A 14,012-nucleotide genomic window follows, 5' to 3' on the forward strand; every position below is an offset into this window, starting at 1 on the left:
GCTGACTCACTCTGTGTAATCCCTTCCTTCTCTGGGCCTCAGTCTCATCTGAAATGGGGCCCCCAGTTCTCCTTGCCTCACATCCTCATGGGTGGCAGTGAGGCTTAGGTGAGATGATGAATTTGATCAATGCACTTTTAAAATTGTAAAGAAAGGCTGGACGGCAGTAGCCTGTAATCCCATCACTTTGGGAGGCCAAGGCGGGTGGATCATGAGGTCAGGAGTTCCAGACCAGCCTGGCCAATGTGGTGAAAACCTGTCTCTAGTCAAAAACAAACAAACAAACAAACAAAATTTAGCCAGGCATGGTGGCACATGCCTGTAATCCCAGCTACTCACGAGGCTGAGGCAGGAGAATTGCTTGAACTTGGGAGGCGGAAGTTGCAGTGAGCTGAGATCACACCACTGCACTCCAGCCTGGGTGGCAGAGCAAGACTCTGTCTCAAAAAAAGAACTGTAAAGAAGTTCTGTGGGGGCCGGGCGTGGTGGCTCATGCCTGTAATCCCAGCACTTTGGGAGGCCGAGGTGGGCGGATCACGAGGTCAGGAGATCGAGACCATCCTGGCTAACACGGTGAAACCCTGTCTCTACTAAAAATACAAAAAAATTAGCCAGGCGTGGTGGTGGGCGCCTGTGGTCCCACCTAATCGGGAGGCTGAGGCAGGAGAATGGTGTGAACCCGGGAGGCGGAGCTTGCAGTGAGCCAAAATTGAGCCATTGCACACCAGCCTGGGCAACAGAATGAGACTCTGTTTCAAAAAAAAAAAAAGAAGTTCTATGCCCTGGGGAGATATCAGGCCATTTTTCTACCCATTCTCCCAACATTCCTGCTCCTTCCCAAGTGATGGGACTGAGACAACCTGCTCACCCAACCTTCTGCTTTTTCTTCCTGGGTTTAGGTGGTCCCAGAAAATCCAGCCCTTTGGCATCTGAACTGGGCCTCCCCGGAGTTCCCACTGGTGGCACAGGCATCCTCTGCCACAATTCAGGACACAGGGTTTAGCTGTGGGTTCCTAGCTTAGGGTTCAGACACAGAGGCCCAGGAGCCCTCCCCATAGACCTGTTTATTTATTTTATTTTTATTTTTATTTTTATGAGATGGAGTCTCCCTCTGTTGCCCAGGCTGGAGTGCAGTGGAGTGATCTCGGCTCACTGCAACCTCCACATCCCAGGTTCAAGCTATTCTCCTGCCTCAGCCTCCCGAGTAGCTGAGATTACAGGCGCCCGCCACTACGCCCGGCTAATTTTTTGTATTTTTAGTAGAGATGGGGTTTCGCCATGTTGGCCAGGCTGGTCTCGAACTCCCGACCTTGTGATTTGCCTGCCTCAGCCTCCCAAAGTGCTGGGATTACAGGCGTGGGCCACCACGCCCAGCTTCAGGCCTGTTTATATATGCTGTTTTCTTTCCAACAACAATATGCCCCAGGCTGGGCATGGTGGCTCATGCTTGTAATCCCAGCACTTTGGGAGGCTGAGGTGGGTAGATCACCTGAGGTCAGGAGTTCCACACCAGCCTGGCCAACATGGCGAAACCCCGTCTCTACTAAAAATACAAAAAATTAGCCGGGCATGGTGGCAGGCGCTTGTAATCCGAGCTACTTGGGAGGCTGAGGCAGGAGACTGAACCCAGGAGGCAGAGGTTGCAGTGAGCCGAGATCGCGCCATTGCACTCAGCCTGGGTGACAGATTGAGACTCTGTCTCAAAACAAAACAAAACAAAACAAAACAAAACAAAACAAAAGATGTGCCCCAGATGGTGGAGACAAGCTACAGGCCCTCTCCAGAGAGACCCCCTTCTTCCTGCACCAATGGACTGGACACCAATTTGTATGTTTGTGCCAGAAAGCCAAGGAGTCCTGCTGTTCATTCACAAGAGGCCCTGCTGGGCGCCAGGCAGGGCGCTGAGCTGAGCCCATTTCTCTCTGGTATCTCCCTAGCCTCTCCCCAAGCTCTTAGGTAGAATAAGATCCAGTAAGTATAGACACTTTTGCGGCATCCAAAGAATTAACCCTTCACTCATTTACTCACCTGGTAAGAGATACAGGGAGAAAGCTGTGGAGTAACTCAGGGAGCTGGAGCCCATAAGGCAGGAAACCCATGCCCATTCATTCAACAAACTTGTATTGAGCTCCTTTTTGATGCATCCCCCATCCACTATAAGCACTTGGAGACCCACACAGATGTGGTTTCTGCTCCCATAGTGTGTGTGTGTGTGTGTGTGTGTGTGTGTGTGTGTGTGTGTGTGTGTGTAGGGGAATGTAAACAGGAAAACAGATATGCAAAACAATTTCAGATCGCGGTAAGTGCTAGGAACAGAATGAAATAGGATAGGAGTGATGGACAGGGGAGACTTCAGGTGGAGTCATCGGGAAAAGCCTCTCCATAAAGTGACCTTCTGGGAGAAAACCGAGGGGTAAGAATCTGGTCCTGCAAAGATCTGGGCAAGAAATGTCCAGGTGTAGGGAACAGCGAGGTCAAAGTCACCATCACAAGGAAACGCTTGGTGTATTGAGGAGCAGCAGAGAAGTTGGAGTGAAGGCAGAGAGGGGTTAAGGTAGCATATACCTTGAAAGGGGAGGCTCCTATAGGGGCTTACAGGCGATATAAATCATTCATTCATTCAACACATATTTATTGAGCATCTACTGAGATCCTGTCCTTAGTTTACTGCGTGGAGACAGACCACAAGCAGGTAAACAAGCAAATATGTAAGTCCCAGGTCAGATAAATTTTAGGAAGTGCTGTTTTCCAGTGGTTCAATGGTCATCCCAGGGCAGAGGTGGGGAGACCTGCTGAGGGCGGCTTCTCCCTCAGTCAGTCCATGCCTGCAGGGTCTGGAACCCAGGTAGCCAGAGACCCGCTGGTCTTCTTTCCCCTCCCCTGCCCTCCCCTCCCTTCAAGATGGCTGACAAAGGCCGGGCTGGGTGGAAGGAAGGGAGGAAGGGCGAGGCAGAGGGTCCAAAGCAGGATGACAGGCAGGGGCACCGCGGCGCCCCGGTGGCACTGCGGCTGGAGGTGGGGGTTAAAGCGGAGACTCTGGTGCTGTGTGACTACAGTGGGGGCCCTGCCCTCTCTGAGCCCCCGCCTCCAGGCCTGTGTGTGTGTCTCCGTTCGGGTTGAAAGGAGCCCGGGAAAAAGGCCCCAGAAGGAGTCTGGTTTTGGACGTCTGACCCCACCCCTCCCGCTTAGGGCTTCTGATCCCCCAGGGTGATTTCACTGGCCCGGGGTTGGGAGGGCAGGGGGCCAGGGGGCGGAGCCCGCGGAGAGGGGCGGAGGGGAGGCTCCGAGCGATTTCAAATTTCCCTCGTCCCCGCCCCCCCGTTCCCCCCGCGCCCGGGCGGGGATCTGAGTGGCTGCGGCGGGGGCACCCCCGGGCGGGGGCGGGGCAAGAGCCGGGCCGGGGCTACAAGGGGAGTCGGCACCGCCCCCTCCCCACCCACTCCCGCTGCCCCGTCCGGCCCGCGCCGCTTCCTCGCAGCAGCTGCTCCCGGCTCCGCGGCCGCAGCCCGCGTGGACGCTCCGAGCGCCCCCCGACGGACGGGACCGGCTCCCTGGCGGTCGGGCGAGCGGGCGGCAACGCTGCCCGGCCGGCAGCGCTGGGGTTAAGTGGCCCAAGTAAACCTAGCTCGGCGATCGGCGCCGGAGATTCGCGAGCCCAGCGCCCTGCACGGCCGCCAGCCGGCCTCCCGCCAGCCAGCCCCGACCCGCGGCTCCGCCGCCCAGCCGCGCCCCAGCCAGCCCTGCGGCAGGTGAGCGCCCCGGGGCCCCGGGGAGGCTCGGCCGCCAGCTGCTTCGAGGGCTGCTAGGGGAGGGGACGGCGGGGGCTCCCGAAGCTGCCGGGGAGAGACCCTCTCCAGGGACCTCCCGAGGAGGGGCTCTCGCCGGGTTGGAGACCCGGCTGGGTTTGCGGGGTGAGGAAACGTCCACGGACCCTGCTTGGGGTGGAACGGGGACAGCGGGTGGGACGCGGGGGACATACGTCTGACGGGGACCGGAGATACTAGAGGAAGGGACGCGTCTGCTGCCTCCAGGAGCCCGAAGAGGAGAGAAGCTTGCTCGCAGGGAGGGGGACGCGCTGGCTTCCCGGGGTCCAGACTCGAGGAGGAGGAGGTGCCCGTCGAGAGCATGAACAGGGGCTTTGCTCATGGGCAGGGGGTGTAATTACCTGGCCTCTGCCTTGGGAAAAGTTAAGGGGCAGAGGAGGTGAGGAGGGGTTTCTGCCATGCAGGTGGGCGTCCGCCCCTTGCAACTGGGATGTGGGGTCTTCAGGCGAGGCGCTGTCCCTTCCCCCAATCCCAGCTTTAGGAAAGAGCTCGTGAGTGTGGGCTTAGACTCGCGCGGGCTGGGGTGTGCGCCGTGGAGGGCGTGAGGCAGAGGGCGACCTCCCGGGGTGCTCCTGAGCTGAGCCATCAAGCGCGGGGAGCAGCGGGGCTGCCCTCTGCCTGTGCACACCTGGCCCGGGAGGAGCCGGCCGGAGGGGCGGCGCCTCCCTGTCCCGGCCACGCCGCCTACCCTGGGGTCTTACCTTCCATTCTTAGCCTAACTCCCGTGTGCGGCTGGCCCCACTTCCCAGACTCGCACACTAAGGCCTCAAAACCTCTAGCACCAGCTCCTGGAAGATAAGCTTCCCGGCTCGTGGTTGCATGGGGAGGGTGTATTGAGCTCCACTTTATCGGGGAGAAAGTGGAAGCGGAGAAAGACCTAACAAGTTGTAAGACTGCGCTGCCCTTGGGCCCAGGCTTCCCGCTGGAGGATCTCACCTGTGGATGGAGTTCCGAGCCCAGGTCTTGCCCGCGCCTCCAGCTTTCCCTGCTCCCTTTTCCTCCCCTGGTCTAGGAGAGAGGCTCGCTGGGCCTCCGTGTTTCCACCCTCCCCCGAAGCTGGGAAGTGTTTGAATTAAAGGGAATTAAGGGCAGAGTATGAACTTTGAGTTGCCTCCTGAGTTCTGGATGCGGTGGGTTGTGGCAGACGGGTGGCAGTTTTTGGGAAACAGCTGTTATCTCCTCTACCAGGCCTGCTGGGGCTTCTTGTTCACCCACCTTGGAAACGCCAGGTGCGGACTTGATTTTTCCAGAGTTGAGATGATGGTACTTAGTTTATAGGGTTGGTATACAGTAAGCACTCAATACATGTTTGCCATTGTTGGAATCACTAGCTAGCACACGGGCTAAGCAAGCTTCCTTCCTTAAGGAAGCATAGTTCTTAGTTCATCATGTGTTTAAACCCTGTCTCGCCAAGTTCATTGCTCTCCGTGCCTTAATTATTACATCTGTGAATTAGCAATAGTCCTACTAATAGGGTTGTGTAAGGATGAAACCAGTCTTATGCGTGAATTAACCTCTTCAGCCCTTGATCTTCCTCAGATGTTTAGGCATAATAGCCTCTACCACATTGGGCCTGGGTAAAGAGGCAGTGGGATAGTGCCTGTGTAGGGTCAGCACATGGTGAGTGTTGATGTCTGTACTTAATAACGAATAGCCCCTCATTTTAGGGTGGCCATTCCTGAGATTTGGGGATGGAGGGAGGCACCCCTGCCAGCCTCTCCTTTTCCTGCCTTCATGAAGGCAGCTCTGAAAGCTTTTCTCAATCATTGTCCACGATTAGGGAGTTGGCAGGAAGAACCGCCTTTGTTCCCTTTCGAACGGAGTCTTGGTTTTGTTTTATAAGGGTTGGGGCCGTTTTTAAAGCCCTCCCGGCCACGCATGGGGGCCTACTGCAAAGGTGTAATTGCAGAACTAAGTGAGATCCTTTACCTTTTCCCATTGGGGTGGAGAGTGCTGAGACAAAGGGACAAGGACTGGGGCCAGTGGCATCCTGCTCTTAAAGTCATAGACATAACCCCCACCCCTTGCAAAGGATGGGGGGAGGGGAAGACGGTAGCTGGGAGCTGCAGGGGTCTAAGGGAGGAGCAAGGGAGGTGGGGTTGAGAGGCTGCTTCCTTCCCTTCCTCCAGCCACGTGGGGCCTGTGATCCAGAGGCGCCTGTCGCCCCTCATTATTGCAGCCCCATGGACCTGCTGCCAGTGGGGGCTTGGGCAAGTTCTTCAAGGAAAACTTACCTTGGGATTCCTTTTCCTAGACCAGCTCTTATGCCGGCTGCCTCACCTCCAGGCTCAGACGCCTTTTCCAGTTTCAGCTAAATGTGAAACTTTTCAGAGGTATGAGGTTGTGTGCTCTTCCTCACACACCAGTCCTTAGCCCAGGCACATACTACTAATTGAGTGGAGTTTTTTCTTTTAAATCATGAATTTTCAGGATGATTTCCAGTTTCACGGAGGACCAGGGCTGGTGAAGTATGGAATTCATTTCATGTGCAGGCCACTCTTGTAAAAAGAGACTGAGCAGATATGTCTCCCCTTTGTTGGGGGGCTCATGTTCTCACTGGGACCCTTTTACAGGTGATAGAACTGAGGCTCTGGAAGATACAGGTACTATTACGTCTTGGTGGTGAGCATTTTCTTTCTCTTTTTTTCTTTCTTTTTTTTTTTTTTGAGACAGTTTTGCTTTGTCACCCAGGCTGGAGTGCAGTGGTGTGATCTCAGCTCACTGCAACCTCTGCCTCCCGGGTTCAAGCAATTCTCCTGCCTCAACCTTCCGAGTAGCTGGGATTACATGCGCACACCACCACGCCTGGCTAATTTTTGTATTTTTAATTGAGACGGGGTTTCATCATGTTGGCAAGGCCGGTCTCAAACTCCTGACCTCAAGTGATTCACCCGCCTCGGCTTCCCAAAGTGTTGGGATTGTAGGCGTGGCTGTTACACCCGGCTGCTTTTTATTTATTTATTTATTTATTTTTTCTTTTTTTCTTTTTTTTTTTTTTTGAGACGGAGTCTGGCTCTGTCTCCCAGGCTGGAGTGCAGTGGCGCGATCTCCGCTCACTGCAAGCTCCGCCCCTCGGGTTCATGCCATTCTCCTGCCTCAGCCTCCCAAGTAGCTGGGACTACAGGCGCCGGCCACCATGCCTGGCTAATTTTTTTTGTATTTTTAGTAGAGACGGGGTTTCACCGTGTTCGCCAGGATGGTCTCAATCTCCTGACCTCCTGATCCACCCGCCTTGGCCTCCCAAAGTGCTGAGATTACAGGCGTGAGCCACTGTGCCTGGCTATGCTTTTATATGGGTGCTGCCTCACACCCATAATCCCAGCACATGGGAGACTGAGGCTGGAGGATCACTTAAGGCCAGGAGTTCAAGACCAGCCTGGCCAACGTGATAAAACCGTGACTCTACAAAAAATACAAAAAGTAGCCAGGCGTGTTTGTGCATGCCTGTAATCCGTGCTACTGGGAGGCTGAGGCACGAGAATTGCTTGAACCTAGGAGGTGGAGGTTGCAGTGAGCTGAGATCCTGCCACTGTTCTCCAGCCTGGGCGACAGACCGAGACCCTGTCTCTATGTGTATATATCTACGTAGATATAGATAGCTTAAGTTTTTTTTTTTATAAGGACAAGGTCTTGCTGTGTTGCCAAGGCTAACCTTGAAAGCCTGGGTCCAACGATCCTTCTGCCTCAGCCTTCCAAAGGCTTGGGATTACAGGTGTGAGCTACCACACATGGCCTCTAGGTCACTTTTCACTCAGATTTTTTCATTCATTCAAACAAAATAGCATAGGTATGACCTCTGCTCTAGTTTATTTTTTATTTACTTATTTATTTATATTTTGAGACAGTCTCGCTCTGTTGCCCAGGTTGGAGCGCAGTGGCGGTTGCTCACTGCAACCTCTGCCTCCCAGGTTCAAGCAATTCTCATGCCTCAACTTCCCGAGTAGCTGAGACTACAGGCATGCACCACCATGCCTGGCCAATTTTTGTTTTGTAAAGATGGGGTTTCACCTCATTGCCCAAGCTAGTCTCCTGGGCTCAAGCAATCTATCCTCCTCATCCTCTCAAAGTGCTGGGATTATAGACATGAGCCAACACACCCAAATTCAATTTTTTTTTAATTATTTTTATTTTTTGAGATGGAGTTTCGCTCTTGTCGCCCAGGTTGGAGTGCAATGGCGTGGTCTCGGCTCACTGCAACCTTTGCTTCCCGAGTTCAAGTGATTCTCCTGCGTCAGCCTCCTGAGTACCTGGGACTACGGGCGTGGTGGTGCATGCCCGGCTAATTCTGTATTTTTTTAGTAGAGATGGGGTTTCTCCATGTTGGTCAGGCTGGTCTCGAACTCCCAACCTCAGGTGATCTGCCCACCTCAGCCTCCCTCCCAAAGTGCTGGGATTATAGGCGTGAGCCACCGTGCCTGGCCCAAATTCAATTTTTAATGGGGTCCTTGTCTTGTTTTATGGGTACAACATCATTTATCTGCCTGAGAATATTGTAGGGTTTAGTGTTCCCTCGTGTTCCCGCCAATATTAAGGGATACTCAATTTTCCAGTACCTTGCCCTGTAGGTCTGGCTACAGGGCCAGGAGACTGGTGAGGTCTCAGTCTGGTATCTGTTCCTCCACTTGTCCCAGTCTGTAAGCTCTTGTGTGTGTTTTTTTTTTAATTATTTCTTTTGAGACAAGTCTCGCATTGTCACCCAGGCTGGAGTGCAGTGGTGCGATCATAGCTCACTGCAGCCTTGAACTCCTGGGCTCATTCCAGTATCCTCCCACTTCAGTCTCCAAAGTAGCTGGGACCTTAGTCACGTGCCACCACGCCCATCTAATTTTTAAAATTGTTTGTAGAAACATTAAAGTCTCACTATGTTGCCCCAGCTGGTCTCAAACTCCTCGGCTCAAGCAATCCTGCCTCAGTCTCCGAAAGTGCTGGGACTACAGGTGTGAGCCTGTGCGCCCAGCTGTCTCATGTTCTTGTCCAGAGCCTCAGCCTGCATGTCTGAAGAAGAGTGGTTGTCTCCAGAGCAGCAGGCTGAGGGAGGGGACTTGGGAGTCAAGGGTCTAACTCTTCCTTTGGAAGAAGGCCTCTCTCTTAGTAGGCTTTTCTGGATTCCAGCAGCATTTATGTCCTGTTGTATGTGTGTGTTCTGGGGCCAGAGCTGGGGCTGGAACCCAGGCTGCCACTGGGCCCCAGCTCCTGCAGAAGTGCTGATGCCTTTGTAGGGCGTTTGCTGCAGCCAGAACAGTGATGGGCCCTGGCAGCATGGCAACATGGCTCACTCTGTTGCTTAGGCTGGAGTGCAGTGGTGCGATCACAGCTTACTGCAGCCTTGAACTCCTGGGTCAAGTGATCCTCTCACCTCAGTCACCTCCTGAGTAGCTAGGACTACAGGTGAGAGCCACCAGGCTTGGCTAATTTTAATTTTTTTTTTTTTTTTTTTGGAGATGGAGTTTCACTCTTGTCGCCCAGGCTGGAGTGCAATGGCGGGATCTCGGCTCACCACAACCCCCGCTTCCCGGGTTCAAGCAATTCTGACTCAGCCTCCCGAGTAGCTGGGATTACAGGCATGCACCACCATTCCCGACTAATTTTGTATTTTTAGTAGAGATGGTGTTTCTCCATGTTGGTCAGGCTGGTCTCGAATTCCCCACCTCAGGTGATCCACCCGCCTCGGCCTACCAAAGTGCTAGGATTACAGGCATGAGCCTCTGTGCCTGGCTAATTTTAAAATTTTTTATAGAGATAGGCTCTCGGTATGTTGCCCAGGCTGGTCTCAAATTCCTAGGCTCAAGTGTAATCCCAAAGTGCTGGGATTACAGGTGTGAGCCACCATGCCTGGTCCCTTGCCTGCCTTTGATTCCTAATTACTATCATGGTTCCTGAAGCCTAGTAGAACTCATCTGAATGGATACAGGAGGCTCTGGAGATGGGAATGGGGAGGCACTAACTAGGGTCCCACTGAGCCAGCTACAGGCCCCCGCTCTTTTGTGAAAAGATGGTTGTGATGAAGACTTAAGTGTTCATTATATTCCAGGCAAGCCATTTTCTCTGACTCTGGGAGTTGTTTGGCACCATGGGTAAGGAAGCCCTACCCCGACAATGGCACTGGAGGAAGAGCCTCAAGCTTAGGCACTGGCTTTCCCAAGTCCTTGGGTGAATTTGCAAACCTCACCTGTGTCCTCATGTTGCCCTAGGATGTTACATGCTGAGCTGTAAGCAGGATGCTGAATTAGGGGAATTGCTCAGTACTAAATATGATTGTTACTACAACCACAAAACTAGCAAGGAGTAGAACTGCATTAAAACACTGTTGCAAATTTTTTTATTTTTTGAGACGGAGTCTTGCTCTGTCGCCCAGGCTGGAGTGCAGTGGCGAGATCTCGGCTCACTGCAAGCTCTGCCTTCCGGGTTCACGCCATTCTCCTGCCTCAGCCTCCCTAGTAGTAGCTGGGACTACAGGCGCCCGCCACCTTGCCCGGCTAATTTTTTGTATTTTTAGTAGAGACGGGGTTTCACCATGTTCGCCAGGATGGTCTTGATCTCCTGACCTCGTGATCTGCCCGCCTCGGCCTCCCAAAGTACTGGGATTACAGGCGTGAGCCACCATGCCGGGCCCACTGTTGCAAATTTCTTTCCAAAACCTCTGCCAGCACATGGCTGAACCCACAGAACTGGCAGGACACACAAGATGCGCTGGGTTAAGATGCTTTGGTGCTCTCTGTGGGTTCAGCTGACTGTTTTACAGGCCTGCTTCTTGACCGTTGGGGTGGGCAGATCTGAGCCCCCACTAGGTAATTGTGGACAGTTTTTGAAAAGTGGTTTTTATGTGAGATCATGGGCTTCTTTTAAAGCCATTTGTATATATGCAGTTCCCTTATCTGCAGGCCTTAATTTTGACATTTCTGTTTTCCTTCTCGAGATTTGTTTTCTGTCCCTGCAGTACTGCTTTTTCCAGAATGTCATATAAATGGAATCATACATTATTATTATTTTTGAGACAGCATCTCACTCTGTTGCCCAGGCTGGAGTGCAGTGGCACGATTTGGCACATTGCAACTTCCGCCTCCTGAATTCAAGCAGGAACCATACATTATATAGCCCTTCGAGTCTGGGTTCTTTTACTTATTGTGAGATATTTGAGATTTATTTGTGTTATGACACGTACTAGCAGTTATTTCTTACTTTTTAAAAAATTTTTTAAGACAGGTCTCTGGAGTTCAGTACTACAATCACAGCTCACTGTAGCCTCAACTCCAATGCTCCAGCAGTCCTCCCACTGCAGCCCCCACTGCCCAGTAGCTTCGACTACAGGCACTTGTGCACCACTATGCTCAGTTAATTTAAAAAAAAATTATTTTTGAGACAGGGTCTTGCTCTGTCACTCAGGCTAGAGTGCAATGGCATGATCTCAGCTCACTGCAACCTCCACCTCCTGGGTTCAAACGATTCTTCTGCATCAGCCTCCTGAGTAGCTGGAATTACAGGTGCCCGCCACCTCATCAGGCTAGTTTTTGTAATTTTTTTTTTTTTCTGAGGCAGAGTTTTTCACTCTTGTTGCCTAGGCTGGAATGCAATGGTGTGATCTCAGCTCACCGCAACCTCTGCCTCCCAGGTTCAAGCGATTCTCCTGCCTCAGCCTCCCAAGTAGCTGGGATTACAGGCATGTGCCACCACCACCAGCTAATTTTTGTTGGTTTGTTTGTTGTTGTTGTTTTAGTAGAGATGGGGTTTCTCCATGTTGATCAGGCTGGTCTCGAACTCCCGACCTCAGGTGAGCCGCCCACCTTGGCCTCCCAAAGTGCTGGAATTATAGGCTTGAGCCACCATGCTCCGCCTTACTTTTTTTTTTTTTTTCCTTTTGAGACAGAGTTTCGCTCTTTGCCCAGGCTGGAGTGCAATGGCATGATCTTGGTTCACCACAACCTCCGCCTCCCGGGTTCAAGTGATTCTCTTGCCTCAGCCTCCTGAGTAGCTGGGATTACAGGCATGTGCCACCATGCCCGGCTAATTTTGTATTTTTAGTGGAAACGGGGTTTCTCCGTGTTGGTCAGGCTGGTCTTGAACCCCTGACCTCGGGTGATCTGCCTGCCTCAGCCTCCCAAAGTGCTGGGATTACAGGCATGAGCCACCATGCCCGGCCTAAATTTTTTTTTTGTAATGTTGGGGTCTCACTTTGTTGCCCAGGCTGATCTTGAACTCCTGGGCTCAAGCAATCCTCCTGCCTAGGCCTCCCACATTGCTGGGGTTACAGGCATGAGCCACTGTCCCTGGCATCTTTTTTTTTGCTGTGAATATAACATTTCTAGCTTTTCTTTGTGTTGTGATTTTTACCTTTTCAATACATAGTGTGCAAGGACATATTTTCTGGTTACGATAGAAATAATTTATTTGAAAGTCTATCCATGTTGAAACAACTAAAAATGCTGTGCCTTTATCTGTTGGTAGAAGAACTAAGCTCCCTTAAAGAAATCTAGAGAGCAGAAGAGAACAGGAAATGAGAGACCACAAACTAAAGGGAGAAAATGAACTTTTCAATAAGGCTTGCAGGCTTGCTCTAGCAGTTGTAGTGATTAAAAGTAGTGGCAATGGCTGGGTGCAGTGGCTCACACCTGTAATCCCAGCACTTTGGGAGGCTGAGGTGGGCGGATCGCCTGAGGTCAGGAGTTCGAGACCAGCCTGGCCAGCATACTGAAACCCTATCTCTACTAAAAATACAAAAATTAGCCGGGCGTGGTGGCATGTGCCTGTAATCCCAAGGAAGCTGAGGCAGGAGAATCACTTGAACCCAGGAGGTGGAGGGGTTACAGTGACCCGAGATCATGCCATTGCACTCCAGCCTGGGCAACAGAGCAAGACCGCATCTCAAAAAAAAAAAAAAAAAAGGAGTGGTAAAGGATAAATACCAAACAAAAGTGAGCCTCAAAACATATTACATATATATGGGAAGTTCAAATAAGAGATAGAGTTGGGATGTATTCATAGGTGTCTGGCTTTACTTACGGGGAAAAATATTAGGTCCCTATCTCATACCATATACAAATAATCAAATAATTATGTTGATTAAACCTGAGTGGCCTAATTCAAATAAATGTTTCTCAGACAGGCGAGTTATGTTTTCCGATTGTAAAAGTTACATGGGCTTAAGGTAGTTACCCCCCAAACCTTCCTTCTGAGTATGAATTTTTATAGTTAGAGAAGAAATGCTGCAGAGAAATGGCTTAAACATCAATAATTGATGTTGCATTATGCAGGTTTCTTGTTTTCACTTTACATAACTTTGTCTAACAATAAGTACTGCACTCTTTGCCCCCTATTGTGGAAGCAGGTAATTTAGTCAACCAGTCCTCTTGACCGTGATTTGATTGCAGTGTTTGCTATGACAAATGGGACTGCAGCAACCCCCTTGCACAGAGGCCTTGGCGAGAGCTTTGAACTGGGTGGTTTCTGAGCAGTAGAATCCTGTGTAACAGGATATAGACATTAGGCATTTTAGATGACACAGTGAAGATTACTATCCCAAAGACTGAACCAGTATCCCTGCTGTGTAGGTATTTAGGCTTAAGATGACTAAATACTGTGTAGATAGGTAGACTTGAGATTTAAGGCGTTCTTAGTTGAAGCCACAGGTGCAGCCTGCTGTGAGGGAGGGGCCAAGGTTGAGGGGGTCTCTTTCCAGAATATTGACCTCCTTTGCCCCCTTGGGAGGGGACAGGGCTGTTGGCTCTGATTTTGCCAAGGGGTAGGTGGCCACAGGAATTGGGCATAGCAGTGCCTAGGATTCTGCTCCAATGCTGCCCCTCATTCTCTGAGTTACCATTGACCACTCCTTGGGGCTGCCACACCCTTCAAGGGGTTCTCAAAGTGGATATAGGGGAAGGGGCTGGGTGTTTGTGATTTCTGTATAAAGGGCAAAAAGTTTAGACTCTAAAGTTACTGTCATATCTTTTCAGATCTTTATGGTCCTAGTTTTTTTTTTCCTGTTACTTATCTAAAAGGTAATGACATTATTTTATTCCAGTGCGTTGACAAACATCTGAGTATATTTTGGTGTCATGCACAGTCTGCAGATAGCCACTTGTCTGGTTTTTCCCTGTTTGGACACATTTTTTTTTTTTTTTTTTGAGATGGAGTTTCGCTCTTGTTGCCCAGGCTAGAGTGCAATGGCACGATCCCGAGTAGCTGGGATTACAG

At 51.3% G+C, this 14,012-nt stretch overlaps 1 protein-coding gene across 13 annotated transcripts in view, besides 12 other annotated features; it reads left to right on the forward strand.

Annotated features, from left to right (window-relative positions):
• Positions 1,043 to 1,591: an enhancer, noted in NCBI's record as "H3K4me1 hESC enhancer chr20:31347799-31348347 (GRCh37/hg19 assembly coordinates)". NCBI's record gives its function as "activates a minimal SCP1, AML or CMV promoter by ChIP-STARR-seq in primed H9 embryonic stem cells {active_cell/tissue: H9 hESC(primed)}" and the evidence as "EXISTENCE:reporter gene assay evidence [ECO:0000049][PMID:30033119]".
• Positions 1,592 to 2,139: an enhancer, noted in NCBI's record as "H3K4me1 hESC enhancer chr20:31348348-31348895 (GRCh37/hg19 assembly coordinates)". NCBI's record gives its function as "activates a minimal SCP1, AML or CMV promoter by ChIP-STARR-seq in primed H9 embryonic stem cells {active_cell/tissue: H9 hESC(primed)}" and the evidence as "EXISTENCE:reporter gene assay evidence [ECO:0000049][PMID:30033119]".
• Positions 2,363 to 3,028: an enhancer, noted in NCBI's record as "H3K27ac-H3K4me1 hESC enhancer chr20:31349119-31349784 (GRCh37/hg19 assembly coordinates)". NCBI's record gives its function as "activates a minimal SCP1, AML or CMV promoter by ChIP-STARR-seq in naive H9 embryonic stem cells {active_cell/tissue: H9 hESC(naive)}" and the evidence as "EXISTENCE:reporter gene assay evidence [ECO:0000049][PMID:30033119]".
• Positions 2,846 to 2,895: an enhancer, noted in NCBI's record as "active region_17722". NCBI's record gives its function as "activates an Ori minimal core promoter by ATAC-STARR-seq in GM12878 lymphoblastoid cells {active_cell/tissue: GM12878}" and the evidence as "EXISTENCE:reporter gene assay evidence [ECO:0000049][PMID:35858748]".
• Positions 3,156 to 3,795: a silencer, noted in NCBI's record as "silent region_12808". NCBI's record gives its function as "represses an Ori minimal core promoter by ATAC-STARR-seq in GM12878 lymphoblastoid cells {active_cell/tissue: GM12878}" and the evidence as "EXISTENCE:reporter gene assay evidence [ECO:0000049][PMID:35858748]".
• Positions 3,435 to 14,012, forward strand: part of DNMT3B (DNA methyltransferase 3 beta) — a 46,972-nt gene continuing 36,394 nt past the window's right edge. For all 13 annotated transcript variants that reach the window (NM_006892.4, NM_001424351.1, NM_001424355.1 and 10 more), the window contains exon 1: positions 3,435 to 3,749. The gene's annotated coding sequence lies outside the window, so the exon portion shown is untranslated. The remainder of the gene's footprint in view (positions 3,750 to 14,012) is intronic.
• Positions 4,366 to 4,465: a silencer, noted in NCBI's record as "silent region_12809". NCBI's record gives its function as "represses an Ori minimal core promoter by ATAC-STARR-seq in GM12878 lymphoblastoid cells {active_cell/tissue: GM12878}" and the evidence as "EXISTENCE:reporter gene assay evidence [ECO:0000049][PMID:35858748]".
• Positions 5,024 to 5,689: an enhancer, noted in NCBI's record as "NANOG-H3K27ac hESC enhancer chr20:31351780-31352445 (GRCh37/hg19 assembly coordinates)". NCBI's record gives its function as "activates a minimal SCP1, AML or CMV promoter by ChIP-STARR-seq in primed H9 embryonic stem cells {active_cell/tissue: H9 hESC(primed)}" and the evidence as "EXISTENCE:reporter gene assay evidence [ECO:0000049][PMID:30033119]".
• Positions 6,355 to 7,019: an enhancer, noted in NCBI's record as "H3K27ac-H3K4me1 hESC enhancer chr20:31353111-31353775 (GRCh37/hg19 assembly coordinates)". NCBI's record gives its function as "activates a minimal SCP1, AML or CMV promoter by ChIP-STARR-seq in naive and primed H9 embryonic stem cells {active_cell/tissue: H9 hESC(naive and primed)}" and the evidence as "EXISTENCE:reporter gene assay evidence [ECO:0000049][PMID:30033119]".
• Positions 7,020 to 7,683: an enhancer, noted in NCBI's record as "H3K27ac-H3K4me1 hESC enhancer chr20:31353776-31354439 (GRCh37/hg19 assembly coordinates)". NCBI's record gives its function as "activates a minimal SCP1, AML or CMV promoter by ChIP-STARR-seq in naive and primed H9 embryonic stem cells {active_cell/tissue: H9 hESC(naive and primed)}" and the evidence as "EXISTENCE:reporter gene assay evidence [ECO:0000049][PMID:30033119]".
• Positions 8,511 to 9,112: an enhancer, noted in NCBI's record as "H3K27ac-H3K4me1 hESC enhancer chr20:31355267-31355868 (GRCh37/hg19 assembly coordinates)". NCBI's record gives its function as "activates a minimal SCP1, AML or CMV promoter by ChIP-STARR-seq in primed H9 embryonic stem cells {active_cell/tissue: H9 hESC(primed)}" and the evidence as "EXISTENCE:reporter gene assay evidence [ECO:0000049][PMID:30033119]".
• Positions 9,113 to 9,714: an enhancer, noted in NCBI's record as "H3K27ac-H3K4me1 hESC enhancer chr20:31355869-31356470 (GRCh37/hg19 assembly coordinates)". NCBI's record gives its function as "activates a minimal SCP1, AML or CMV promoter by ChIP-STARR-seq in primed H9 embryonic stem cells {active_cell/tissue: H9 hESC(primed)}" and the evidence as "EXISTENCE:reporter gene assay evidence [ECO:0000049][PMID:30033119]".
• Positions 11,289 to 11,790: an enhancer, noted in NCBI's record as "H3K27ac hESC enhancer chr20:31358045-31358546 (GRCh37/hg19 assembly coordinates)". NCBI's record gives its function as "activates a minimal SCP1, AML or CMV promoter by ChIP-STARR-seq in primed H9 embryonic stem cells {active_cell/tissue: H9 hESC(primed)}" and the evidence as "EXISTENCE:reporter gene assay evidence [ECO:0000049][PMID:30033119]".

The sequence above is a fragment of the Homo sapiens genome, chromosome 20 (genome assembly GCF_000001405.40).
Source record: "Homo sapiens chromosome 20, GRCh38.p14 Primary Assembly".
Classification (NCBI taxonomy): domain Eukaryota; kingdom Metazoa; phylum Chordata; class Mammalia; order Primates; family Hominidae; genus Homo; species Homo sapiens.